Genomic DNA, 15,147 nt, shown 5'->3' on the forward strand with positions numbered 1-15,147 from the left:
TTTCCCTTAAATTGTAGAATAAAATCTTTCTGTCCATTAGTGTCTACAATTACAAACATAACTATGCAGTCTTACACACATAAAAACATATTTGTTTTAAATGTTACCTTCAAAATGTCTTATAGTTAGGGTTTGGGAAATGAAAACACTTACATGTATGCATGCACACACACACAAACACACAACGCACACAAAAGATTGGTGATGAACCACATTTAAAATAAAACATTCTTGCTGATGAAAAGTGTTTTAAAGAGTAAGTCATTATTGGCTTTATCTCTGAAAAGCTCTATTCCATTGCAGTTAATTACTTCTCACTATAGGAGGAGTATTAGAATTGGAAACAGCCTTCAACTCCCACCATCTAAATACCAGTATAATGTACACCCACCCTTCTGCCAGAACTGATTGTTGCAAAAGGAATAATTTGAACCAGCAATACTTAAGTAAGAAGAACACACACCAATCTGGCCTTCTTTGTGAATTGCTTAAAACAATAGATTCTTGGCAGAATAACCTACAAAAGTTGCTCTTTACAGCAAGGATTAGTATTAGCCAATATTTCTTCTTAATTTCTTCAGGATAACCGAAGGGTGGAAATAATGTGAGGATAGGTCAACACTCCAACAGTCTTCAAATTGGCAATTAATATTTTGTGAAATGCCTGCTTTTAATTATCAATATCCATATTGGCCAGTTAACAGGTAAAATTCCTTAACTTCTCAAGGAATGCATGCAGACTTAAATCAGCAATTTCTGTTAATAATTTCTCCTTTGGAAAACCTATACCATATCAAGTGAAGCCTCTCCGCTGTCCCCATCTTGCAAACAGACTTGATTGCTATCATGTCTTGTAAGCAGTTGAAAAGCTATAACCGTCAAACCATGCACAACATCATAACTCTGCTTCAACAAATTGGAGGCAAACCAAACTACTACATGCAGTCAGCCTGCTCAGAATTCTCTTCTTCAGATGACATGGACTTTTTCACTTTCTGAGGCATGAGCAGCACCAGCCTGGAAAGGCATTGGGAAACATAATTGCACACGAAGCGTGTGCAGGGTAATGAAGCGAACGGCCCTGATGCACAAACATTGTGACCGTGCAGGAGCAAATCTCACAGGGAAATGAAAAGACCTTCAAAAGGAAAACTGAGCCAGTCCTGTGACCTGGCTTTCCTCTTACCCTGGTTTGAAAACTAGCATCAAGGGAGATAATCTCAAAGGCAATAGGTGATGACAACTCAAAATAGCTGGCTGAGTATAGTGACAGCAAGTGCCAATATATAATTCCCCACCCCTTTCACCACTACCATGCCTGAAGTTCCAGATTCTCTGCTAATGACCAATTCGTTTAAGTTAGGAACAACCCCTCCTTTCAAACAAAATCTAATCCTGGGACAGTTTAATGAGATTATCAGCCATATATCCTTTATTTGAATTTATTTTATTTTATCAGATTGCTTTCTTTCTAATATCTACTTGAAATTTACAGAAACAAGAAAAGAGGAATTTTTAATGAAGGAAAGAGAGAGAAAAGGTCATTTGTAACCAAGAAAACTATGAGAACAACTTTAATGTCTCTTCAAAGCTTTGGGCTTTGTAAATCAGAAGACAAAAATTAGAATGTGGGCTTCAGACCCTGAAGGATTGGATGCGGAGAAGCAGCCAGAGGGCTGAACACCAAGATCGCCAAGAGTTTTGCTGAAGACTTCCATTGCTCTCTAACTTATACTTCGGTACTTGTGCAATGAGAAAATGTGCCAACTATCTCAGTTTATTAATGAAATAGTTATTTTTCTTGGAATAGAATTTAACAAAAATTCATGGTATTTCACATTCGCCCATGTCTATTTTGAAATCTGGCATTGTTTATCCTCTTTCCTAGGCTTCTTAAAATTCACCCACCCCAAACAGACACACATTCCCACTTGATCCAGTTAAGGATATAGAAAACAGATTACTGTAATTCTTTGCTTCTGAAACTCAGACACATGCATCTTCTAGAAAGTATATTAATCTACCAAGGGTGAAAAAATACAGGCCAGGCATGGTGGCTCATGCCTATAATCCCAGCACCATGGGAGGCTGAGGCAGGCGGATCACTTGAGGTCAGGAGTTCAAGACCAGCCTGGCCAAGATGGTGAAACCCTGTCTCTACTAAAAATACAAAAAATAGCCAGGTGTGGTGGCGTGCGCCTGTAGTCTCAGTTACTCAGGAAGCTGAGGCAGGAGAATCGCTTGAGGCTGGGAGGCGGAGGTGGCAGTGAGCCGAGATCATGCCACTGCACTCCAGCCTGGGTGACAGAGTGAGACTCTGTCTCAAATATATATATACGTATATATTATATATATGTATATGTATATTACATATATTATGTGTATGTATATTATATATACATTTATACTACATATATGTATATATTACATATATACATATATATTACATATATATGTATATATATGTAATATATACGTAATATATATATTTCCTCTTTTTTGCAAGTAATGCAAAACAACATTTTTACATTAAAAGAGATATAGATCTATTTTAGATAGGTTTCAAAATTTACGCTGTTCTAAACACGTCCAAGAAATTTCCTGCTTCTGTGAATCACTATCATTTACATCTCTAGACCCTCTGTGTGTATTTTTTTTCTGTTTTAAATGTATGTTTGTGGGAAAGTTTTTAAAGCTCTTTGAATAGCATTCTTTTGGAACTAGTTCTGCCACTTAATAGTTATGTGAACATAGCACATTTCTTCTCTAGTCTAAATCTATTTCTTCATCTGGAAATTAAAGACATGGAAATAATACCCTCTCAGTTCCTTTGTGGAGACAGAATTGTAATATTATATGACTACTTTACATCATCAGTTATGATTGAAAGTGCTGGAGCTCTCAGAGCCACATTTCATGACCCTTGTTTGACAGGAACTTTGCTAACAGATGCAGGGAGGGACAGCCTTTGGAATTCCTTGAGGTAATGTTATGTTATACCAAAAATATCTACTAGGGTTTTACAGAAATGCCAAACATTTTCGTAGAGTCTTTGGAATTCCTGTAGAAGGGTTTTACATAGGAGCCATCATTTTTAGTGTACAAATTTTCTTGTGATTTCATCATGGAACATTTTAGTCTTCCAAATATATTTTTGAGAAACAACTTTGAGAGAGAATTTTTTTTTCATAAGATAAAGAGCCCTCATTAAGAAGTGTGAAAATTTTCTTAATTTCAATAGAAGAATAATATTCTAAAGTCTCAATATAGATATGTGAGAATATAGAAAATACTTTTCATTTTGGGACAGGTCATTTATAAAAGGTAATTTATTTGACAATTTCACCATTTTCAATGCCTAAAAAAGATAAGTTTGGCATGATGCACCACTATCATTTTGTTGCTTTAAAAAATACATTGCTAATTAGACCTTGGAAACAACATTTTTAGAGTTTGTTTTGCAGAGAAACACAGATACTCCTTAAGGTGACATGAACACTTGGTAGCAGAATAGAAATAATAGTAATCAATATATTGTTGAGTCTGGACACTCCATGACCCTTAAACTACTAAAGGACAGTGTTAATGACATCATGGTCAAAGATTCTCATCTACTGTAAACAGGCCAGTTAGCTCAGTAAAGCTCTACACCAGGGCAGATATGATCTTTAAATGGTGTGTGAAAGAAAACCTCACAACTCAGAATGAGTTATGAGAAAGTGTGTTCATCACATTCTAGTCAGGAAAAACAACTTTTCACCCTAAGATAAAAACAAAGCAAAATAAGACAAAGCAAACTCTTGCGGGAAGTCAGGGACCCCAAATGGAGGGACCAGCTGAAGCCATGGCAGAAGAACGTGGATTGTGAAGATTTCATGGACATTTATTAGTTCCCCAAATTAATGCTTTTGTAATTTCCTATGCCTGTCTTTACTGCAGTCTCTAAACATAAGTTGTAAAGATTTCATGGACACTTATCACTTCCCTAATCAATACCCTTGTGATTTCCTATGCCTGTCTTTAATTTAAGCTCTTAATCCTGTCAGTTGAGGAGGATGTATATCATCTCAGGACCCTGTAATAATTGCGTTAACTACACAAATTGTACACCATGTGTGTTTGAGCAATATGAAATGTGGGCACCCTGAAAAAAGAACAGGATAACAGCAATTGTTCGGGGAATAAGAGAGATAACCTTAAACTCTGATCGCCGGTGAGCCGGGCAGAACAGAGCCATATTTCTCTTCTTTCAAAAGCAAATGGGAGAAATATCGCTGAATTCTTTTTCTCAGCATGGGATATCCCTGAGAAAGAGAATGCGCACCTAGGGGTAGGTCTCTGAACTGGCCCCCCCGCCCGGGGCGTACCTGTCTCTTATGGTTGAGACTGCAGGGGTGAAATAAACTCCAGTCTCCCATAGCGCTCCCAGGCTTATTAGGAAGAGGAAATTCCCACTTAATAAATTTTGGTCAGACTAGTTGATCTCAAAACCCTGTCTCCTGATAAGATGTTATCAATGACAATGGTGCCCAAAACTTCATTAGCAATTTTAATTTCCCCTGTGGTCCTGTAATCTCACCCTGCCTCCACTTGCCTTGTGATACTCTATTACCCTGTTAAGTACTTGATGTCTGTCACCCACACCTATTCGTATACTCCTTCCCCTTTTGAAAGTCCCTAATAAAAACTTGCTGGTTTTTGTGGCCTGTGGGGCATCACGGATCCTACCAACGTGTGATGTCTCCCCCGGACTCCCAGCTTTAAAATTTCTCTCTTTTGTACTCTCTCCCTTTATTTCTCAAGCCAGCCGACACTTAGGAAAATAGAAAAGAACCTACGTGATTATCGGGGCAGGTCTCCCGATAGCAAACAATATTTACATTACTTGTAATGGCAAAAATCGCAATTTCTTTTGCACAAACCTAATATAAAGTGTTGTGCTTTCCAGCTCTAGTTCCTCTCAAATGAATGAAACATTGGTGGGATTGTTAATTTAAGGCATCAGTTTGATTGAGGTGCCCAGGTATTTAGTCAAACATTATTTCTGGGTGAGTCTGTGCAGGCATTTCTGGATGAGATTAACAGTTGAATTGGTAGACTAATTAGAGTAGATGGCCCTCCTCAGTGTAGGTGGGACTCATCCAATCCATTGATGGCCTGAAGAGGGTAAAAGGCTGAGTAAGAAAGAATTCTTTTTCTCTGACATTCTTTAGCTGTGACATCAGTCTTCTCCTGCCTTAGGAGTTGGACTCGAACTCAGACTTGGTTTGAAACTTTCACTATAATTTCTTTTGGTTCTCAGGGCTTCAGACTCAGTCTAGATCCACAATATTTGCTCTCTTAGGCCTCCAGCTTTCCAACTGCAGATCTTGAACTTCTCAGCCTTCATAAGATTATAAGCCAATTCCTTCTGGTGACTATCTATCTATTTGCCTATATTAATAGTCCTGTTTCTTTGGAGAACTCAGAATAATACACTTGGATCTTACTTGTAAGTTGCTGATTCCCTAACAGAAATAAACTTTATCTGTGCATTTTGCAGTGGTGATATCTAAAGATACATCCGTTGTGCATATGATAACCATGAGAGAATATTGCTAGGTTTAACAATGCAAAGATTAATTTATAAACTTAGTGACTTTGTTGATTTTCTATTATAGTTTCTCTTATTCCTCAGTTTCTTTAAATACATTTTGTGAATTTTGTTTGTTGTCTAATGGTAAGCCAGTCTTTCTGAAACAGACTTTCTTGCAAACCTTTTTTACAATTACGTGTCTTTTCTTTTGGCCTAAAAGCTTTTCTACCTAAGTCTTTCTTTGTTAGATATATTGCTAATTTTGAGGAAGGAAGTGAAAGAAAATGTGGAAATCAGAATAGACAATAAAAAGAGAGCATGTAAATTCAGCTATAGAAGTTAGCAGACATAAAATTTAAAAATATATTACCAATATAAAAAAATGACAAAATGGGGGATGTAACTATAGAATTGGAAGCTATTTTTAAAAGTACCAAATAGTATTCCTATAATTAAAAAAAAACTAATGCTTAGGAAAGTGTGTAACAAAAATGTGAGTAAAAATGAAAAGTTATAGCATACATAAAATTGGAGTCACCACAAGAGAAGAACATGAGAATGGGGCAAAAATTATATTTTAAAAAGTAATGATATAGAATTTTTCAAAACTGATTACAGACCTTGGGCCACAGGTTCAAAAACTTACAAACTTTGAACCAATTTAAATAAATTATGCACATTTACATCATAGTAAAATTACTAAAAACCAAGAAAAAAGAAAAATCTTAAAAGCAACCAAAGGGAAATAATGAATTATTCTCAAAAGCAAAAATACCCGTTGATATCTAGCTTTTCAATGGAAATAATGAAAGACAGAAAACACTGAAATGTCTTCTTTAAGGGTTGAAAAAATATAACTAATAAATCAGAATACTATTTCCAACACGAAATATTTATTTTAAAAGGATAGCAAAGTAGACATATTTTCAGAAAAACTGAAAAGTTTTTAGCTCTCTATAGTCATGCACTTTCTGTGTCAGCAATAGACCACATGTATGATGGTGATCCATGAGATTATAATGGGATCTATGTAATGTAAAACAAAGCATTATAACCTCATGGGATCACCGTCATGCATGTGGTATCATACATGTGATATGTTTAGCTACACGAATACAGTCGTCCTTCAGTATACTCAGGATTGGTTCTAGGACCTCCACCTATACCCCTATCCCCACATTCTCAAGTCCTCCAGTGGACCCTGCAGAACCCATATGTAGGAAAAGGAAAAGCTGGCCTTGCCTATACACGGGTTTTACATCCCGGGAAGCACTATAGTTTCAATCTGAGTTTTGCTGAAAAAAAAATATGCATATAAGTGGACCTGTCCAGTTCAAACCTATGTTGTTCAAGGGTCAATTGTGTTTACCATGGTGTTAAAATTGGCTCCAGCATTCAGTACAATAACATGCTATACAAGTTTTTTATCCTAGGAGGAATAGGCTGTGCTGTATAACCTAGGTGTATAATAGTCTATACCACTGAAATTTGTACAAGATGCTCTGATGTTCTCACGACTATGATATCACCTAAACATACATTTCTCAGAATGTTCCCATTATTATGTGACACATGAGTGTATATATAAACACTGCATTCAACAATTGCAAAATGCATTATTTTCAAGTGTACATGGAACATGTACCAAAGTAGGTCACTATATGCTGGGCCATAAAGCAATTCCCTACAAGTTTCAAAGGATTTGATAATGAAATTAAAGAGAGTATGTTCTGACAAAAATGAAATTAAACTGGAAATAAAAACCACAAAAACAGAAATATAAGTAATAAAATTGAACTTTAAATGTTAAATATTACATTTGGAAATCATCCATATGTCAAAAAAATCACATGAAAATTAGAAAATATTTTGGACTTTCATAATGTATGTAATATTGTCATAAAATATAATGACAATGCATAAAGTCGTCTTTGTTCTAGTAATGTGAGTGATATAAATTAAGGTAATTTACTGAATTAATAAAGGAGAAAAACATATGATCATCTGGTTAGGTGCAGAAAAGTATTGACAAAGTCAATATCTGTCTTTTAAAAAATGTCTTGGAAAACTGGTAATAAAGGGAATTTCATTACTCTGATAAAGAACATTATGTCAGTTTGTTATTCCAGCCTAACATTATCTCAAAACTCAATGACTAAAAATACATATTTATTTCATTTTTGATACTTTGGATTGGCCCATGTCGAATGGATTTGCAACTAACAAATAGAAAATAAAATATATAAATAAGATTTTTTAAAATAGCACCAAACATATTTAATGCCTATAAATAAATCAAATGAAAGATGTACAAAATCTCAACAAAGAAAATTACAAGACAAATATTACTGAAAGAATAGAAAAGTGCAAACAAATGCAATGATCTACCATGTTTATGGGTAGAAAGAATTATCACTTAAACATATCAACAACGTCCCTCCCAATAGTAAATACAATACAATATCGCTCAAAATCTCTGCAAGTCTGCAAGTGTGTATGTGTGTGTGTGTGTGTGTGCGCGTGTGAATGTATATTAAAAACTGATTCAAAAATGTTTCTGGAAATTCAAGAGGCAAGAATAGCAAAGAAAATTGAGAAGAATGAATTTGGAGAACGTACACTACCAAATATCAAGTTTCGTTATAAAACTAAAGTAAAACTGTGTGGTATTGACACAATCAAACAAATAGCATAGTGGGAAAGCAGGAGGAATACAAAATGATACATTCATAGAAACAAACACACCATTATAACAAAAGTATCAGAACAATGCAGTAATGAAAGGGTCATATTTTCAGTATATGATGCTGGATGAATTGGGTGCCTATATGGGGAAAAATAGAACTTGAAATTTTCATTAGATGATGCTGGGTCAATTGGATATCTAAATGAAAGAAAAATTGAATTAAATGTTTTGTCATGTCTTACACCATATTTAAAAATTATGTGTAGATGGATTGAAGATTCGAGATGAATTGAAGATCTAAATGTGAAAGGTAAAACAGTAAAGTATCCTCTCACCTTCAAATTGGGGACTGTGTTCATTGTTACAATGTGGATGAGTCGCTTTATAAATTTGACTGTGAGAAGTCAGATAGGACAATGTATACTCTGCGATTTCATTTACAGTATGTCCTTCTTAGTCTCATTGATAGATTCTTGGAAACGGAGACCATAAGCAAAGCAACATATAATAAAACCAATATTACCATAGCCTGATTAATATAAAAAAGAGTTAAGTTCCTACAGCATATTTCTCATCTGGAAAACATCACCAAACTCCTCAATAAAGACCCAAACACTTCTAACATTTAACATTGAAATAAATGTGAGCTATACATCCATTTAAGAAAGGGGAAAAGGCCGGGCGCGGTGGCTCACGCCTGTAATCCCAGCACTTTGGGAGGCGGAGGCGGGCAGATCACAAGGTCAGGAGATCGAGACCATCCTGGCTAACACGGTGAAACCTCGTCTCTACTAAAAAATACAAAAAATTAGCCGGGCGTGGTGGCGGGCGCTTGTAGCCCCAGCTACTCAGGAGGCTGAGGCAGGAGGATGGCATGAACTCGGGAGGTAGAGCTTGCAGTGAGCGGAGATCACGCCACTGCACTCCAACCTGGGCAACAGAGCGAGACTCCGTCTCAGAAAAAAAGAAAGAAAAAAAAAAGGGGAAGAAAAACAAGTAAGATAATTACTAGCCCAATTTTTGGTGGGTCATTGAGTGATGGCAGTCATAGTAGTGGTGGGTTATGTTAAGGAATAAATGTTTGCAAAGTGAAAATTCTAAGGAGCACTCCCTACCTCCACGCAGTTCAAAAACAAGCATTAACACATATGGCAGACTTGCTGAGTGCTTTCAGACCACATCATTGATTGTTATGCATTTGTATGGTAATAGTATAAACATTTTTATTTTGCAATAATTTGTATGCATTCATTCATTCATTCCTTTTTCAACCTGCTTATTCCAAGGTCTCGGGTGACAAGAGCCTATTCTTGCAGCTCAGGAACAAGGCACAAACTAACACTGGACAGGACGTCATTCCAACATAGGTCACACTCAAACACACACCCACACTCACTCAGACTGCGACAATTTAGACAGGCCAATTCACCTAATGTGTGGATCTTTGTGATGTGGAAGAACCCAGGGTACCCAGAGAAAACCCACACAGACATGGGGAGAACATGCAAACTCCACACAGAGTGGCCCCAGGAATCATTTTTTCCTCATCAGTGTTACAAGGAAACAATGTTGAATGAAACAACTTTATTCGAGAACCTGCTATATACAGAGATTCCCCCATAAAGTAAAATGAATCAGTGATGCTGGAAGTCACACAGTAGCTACCTTGGAGGGCTAATTATGTGAATTTGTATGAGGTGTCTTCTGTAGTGCTGGTTGTGTCTGTAATGTCGTTTACAATAGCCTAAAAAAGCTACCAATGCCCATGAATAAATTGAATAAAATATGTGAAAAGCTTCTCCATGGAGAACTACAATATTAAAAAACTAGAAAAATGAAAAAAGAATGCATGGATAAGTGACGTGCCATTTTCATGAGCTGGAAGACGCATTTCTGTACATATGGCATCTGTACCCTTAAAATAATAAATGCAAAGCAATCACAGTCAAGGGATGCCATCTTATATTTCAACATAAAGCGTATGTACTTTGTGCTTCAATAAAAATGGCACAAACAAGAAATAAAACACAAAATGAATTGTAATTACTTAGAAAAAAAGAAATATGTTGTTGTTGTAGCATATTCTTGTTCTTTCATGGTTTGGATGATGAGAATGTAAGACTGTCTAAATAATATGGTGCTAATACATTCCATTGCTCATGTCAAATTTCTCACCTTCTCATATGGCATGAGTGCACACACATTTCGGACCTTTATATCTATGACATTTTGGGAAATGGCTTTACCATGCCACAGCAATATTTTACAAGTGAACTTGATTTGGAAAGAATCACTGGCCTGAAATGTATTTGTTCTCTATTAGAACTGTTGGCAATCTTCTCAGTGACAGTACATCACAATCATATCCACGTGCATCAGTGTTCTGATGCCCATTGTAACGTACTTCACTATCACATGAGACAGGGCATAAAGGAAAGTTGGAATCAAAGTACTGTGTTCTACTTTTTTATTTCCAGTTAAAATCTGTGACCGAGCATAGCACATAGCAGGTCCAGTAATTTATGAATGTAAAATTATTAAAGAAGAGAAAAGCTATCCTACTTGTGTAATAATTTAATAGTTTGTTATAAGGCTGCACAGTATTTTATGACATTACTGAACAGATGATTTGTGAGTCTTTAGAGATAAATGAATCTGGCTTCTACTTGACACAGATTTCCCCTGACATGTGGCTTTCTAAATGCTGTTTGAACACCTCTAGAAATGGAAAATCCATTATGGAGCAGTTTATTAAATTTTATAGATTTCTTTTAAATTATTAGAAGACTTTTATGCTAATCTAAAGTATCTCTTCTTGTGATTGATCTTTTAAACAATTCTTTCTTTTGGTGCACACAGAATAAAAGTTTAATTTCAGGCTATATGTCACATACTCACTTTTTTTTTTTTTTTTTTTGAAACGGAGTTTCGCTCTTGTTGCCCAAGCTGGAGTGCAATGGCGAGATCTTGGCTCACTGTAACCTCTGCCTCCCAGGTTCAAGCAATTCTTCTGCCTCAGCCTTTCAAGTAGCTGGGATTACAGGCACCCGCCACCACGCCTGGGTAATTTTTTTTTTTGTATTTTTAGTAGAGACGGGGTTTCTCCATTGTTGGTCAGGCTGGTCTCGAACTCCTGACCTCAGGTGATCCACTGCCTCAACCTCCCAAAGTGCTGGGATTACAGGTATGAGCCACCGCATCTGGCCTAGTCACATATATTTTTATATTGTTTATGATATTTTTTGGTCTTTTAGATAAAATCGAGCTGAAATTCATATATTTTGAGCTAGGTAACATAGTGTGTTCAATGTACTGAGTTCAATAAAAATAAACTTGTATTTTGATTTTTCATAAATAAATCGATAATCGATTTCTATTCTAGACCTTCTTTACATATGTCTTCTTTATCCAAAAGTGTGGGATCATCAACTCAGTTACTAAAGCCAGAAATTCTTGACTCCTCTTCCTCGAACTCTCCACATTGAACTTATCAGCAGATTCTGCAGGTTGTACCTAACAGGTCTATCTGACCTCACTTTTGATCTCTCTATTCCATTTTTCAGACAGAACTAGCAGTCTTTTAAAGTTAAAAAATCATGATATTTTGTAGTACGCAGCCTTCTAAGGCAGACCACAGCAATCTCCATCTCCTGATAGTCATGTTATTGTGCAATTCTCTTCTCCTGAAAGTTTCATAGATATATTGACATCTAATGCATAGAATATGGATACCATTTCTGAGCTTATGTTGCAAAAGACTGTTACTTCAGTCTTGTTTGCTCTGTTTCTTTCTGGCTCTTCTCCATTACTCCCTCTGATGAGGGAAGCTGCCATGCTGCACATTGCCTTATGGAGAGGTACATGCAGCAAGGAACTGAGGATGGCACCCAGCCAACAGCCAGTGAGGACCTGAGGCCCTCTGTTCAACAGTCTACAAAGTGCTGAATCCTGCCAACAACCACGTAAGTGATCGTGGAAATGGATCTCAAGTCACGCCTTTAGATACCTATATTCCCAGCCAACACATTGCAGTCTTCTGAAAGACCCTGAGCCAGGGGTTCTCAGTAAGCTGCAACTAGATTCCTGAACTATAAAAAACATAAGATGTTAAATGTTGTCTTAAGCCTCTAATTTTGTAGTCATTTTGGACACAGAAATAGATAACCAATGCATACTCCTTTGCATTAGTAAAAAATACAATACAGTACAAAAATCCCTTTGGTTAACAATGCAATCAGTAGCCCACTACCTACTGATCCATCCTCCCCTTGTGCTTCTCCATTGCCTACAATGCTCTGGTCAGACTAGGCTTCTTTTAGTTCTTGGAGCAAGTAAAGTTCTTGGCCACTTAAGGCTTTTGTTCATGTTGATGTCTCTACTGGTGTGCTTTAAAAAAGTATTTTATTCATACACAATTTTACATATTACATATTTACGGCATACATGTGATATTTTGATACATGCATACAATCTGTAATGTTCAAATCAGGGTATTTAAGATATTTATCACCTTGAACATTTATCATTTTTTTGTTGAGAACATTTCAAAATTTCTATATACTTTGAAATATACAATATTTTGTTGTTAACTGTAGTCATCCTCTGGGCTATCAAACATTAGAACTTATTTCTTCTATGTAACTGCATTTTTATACCTATTAACCAACCTGTCTTCATTCCTCCTCTCCAGTCTTCTTTGGTATTAGTAGAGAGCAGAATGATAGTTACCAGAGACTATCATTCTACCATTCTCTCATTCTTCCATGAAATCTATGTTTTTAGCTCCCACATAGTAAGAATATGTGATACTTGTCTTCCTGTGTCTGGCTTATTTCACTTACCGTAATAATCTTCAGTTCCATCCGTGTTGCTGCGAACAACAGGATTACATTCTTTTCTATGGCTGAATAGTATTCCCTTGTGTATATATCTGTTTATCCTTTTATTCATTGATGGACACTTAGGCTGATTTTCTCTCTTCTCATGGCTGGCTTCTCATCACCCTTTGGTCCTCCTGTATCCTCTATGTAATAAAGCTCTTCCCCAATATCTCGATAGATACTTTAGTCCTTTGTTATGTTCAGAGCACTTTTCTAGCTTGATATAATTTCAATTATGAGGCTTTTTCCTTTTTTCTTGTTCTGCTGAAAAGAAACTCTGAGGCCTGGTCCAGCCAGGATTCCAGCCAAGGTCTTGGGCACCTGAAGCCCTGTATTCCCTCTGTGCCATGGCTGCTGACAACATTGGATTGTCCTTGTTTGTAATACTCTGTAAATTAATGCATTTGTTATCAGATTTTCATTGTAGTATTAGAGGATGCAACCTGAATATTTAAAAAGTTTCAATAGTATTTAGAATAACAATCAATAAAGAGTTACAACAAAGACCCAAGTCAAAATCAGTGCCATATGCTAGCCCTTTCATTCTCATTATGGAACTTAGTTCTGTTCATATATATTTGTAGAGTTTTTTTTCCGTCTAAGATTACATTATGAAGAGATAATTGAGACAGTTTTATTTTTTGTAATCCAAAATGTACCTTACAATTAAAATTTAAAAATTGCTCAGAATATTAAATTGGATTCTTAGCTGATAAATGAATACAGCATATTTTTCTCCTTCATCAGCCATCATGTCCAGCCTGTGGGACACTTGAAGCCATTTAAAATGCATTGGTATGAACTTTTAGAAAATGTTTTCATAGTTGTATATTAAGGGGAGAGTCATCTGAGATGAATAAATATTGAGAAAAGTATCAGGGAGTAGATGTATTTTAGTACTATACTACCCCTTTTTTAAAACAGTTGTGAAAACCTCTCGGACTAAGTAAATGTCATATCAATAACATTAACATCCCTGGAATATTTTCATAGAGGAACTCACAGAAATCCTTGGAAATAGATGGATGCATTGGTCTCCGTTTCGATGACACTGACTAGCATTAAGGATAAGATTCTATCACTTAAGAATTTACTATATTGAGTATCTAAGAGCCCATTGCCACTTTCAGTGTGATTTATCAGCATGATTCAAACTATATAAAATGAATTCATTCTTCAGTTGGTCAATTTTATTTGCCCGATTTATTGAATGGTTCCACCAACTACGAGGAAGGACAGTCAGTTCTTTCTTCTTTTTGAAAATATCTGAGCTTTCCCTTTCTCCTTCCTTCTGCTGCTTGCCTCAGGGCCATTTCATGCTGAAAAGCTTTGGATTGATTTCTGTGCTCACTGGTGCTTCCATTTACCATCTGTTGGCTGAAGCATTTTTATATTTAGAAACAGAGGAAGGATAGCCCGTGATAAATTGGAGAGGTTTGAATATATAGCAACTATCAAACATTTTATATGAACAAATAGTTATTCCTAATACATGGAGAGTTGTAATAAGACGTGAGATTTTAAGATCATGGGATAGCTGAAAAAGCACTGAAGCAAAGGGAAAACCAATGACTCAAAGAATGTGTAAAGAATGTTAGCATACACTGGAGTTTTTAAAACTAGAGTTTTTTTTTAAAAAAAAACTTTACTGATCATCTTAAAAACTGTTAACTTGTCAAAAAGTTTATTATTGGTGGAGGCAAATGTGTGCATTAAACCTGACTGAAAAATATTGTAACCCTGTCTCGTGTCTTGATCAGTTTATTGCTGCCTTGAGAGCATGAAGAGCTTCTTAGTGGAGTATTAAAATTCACCTGTATTAAGAGAAGGCAATAAAATGTTTTAATTTAATTGTGTAAATGCTTTGTAATTCATGAGTTGTGTAGATTAATCCTTTTAAAAGCATATTGGAAAGTAAGCATCTTAGAATAATGTGAAGGTATCATTCTGGGGTCCGAACAACTCCAAAAGAAGAACTTGTAGCATCTTTTGTTATTTAAGTTACT

General features: G+C 35.9%; 1 annotated feature.

Annotated features, from left to right (window-relative positions):
* Positions 4,591-5,419: an enhancer, noted in NCBI's record as "OCT4-NANOG-H3K27ac hESC enhancer chr21:28398443-28399271 (GRCh37/hg19 assembly coordinates)". NCBI's record gives its function as "activates a minimal SCP1, AML or CMV promoter by ChIP-STARR-seq in naive H9 embryonic stem cells {active_cell/tissue: H9 hESC(naive)}" and the evidence as "EXISTENCE:reporter gene assay evidence [ECO:0000049][PMID:30033119]".

The sequence above is a fragment of the Homo sapiens genome, chromosome 21 (genome assembly GCF_000001405.40).
Source record: "Homo sapiens chromosome 21, GRCh38.p14 Primary Assembly".
Lineage (NCBI taxonomy): Eukaryota > Metazoa > Chordata > Mammalia > Primates > Hominidae > Homo > Homo sapiens.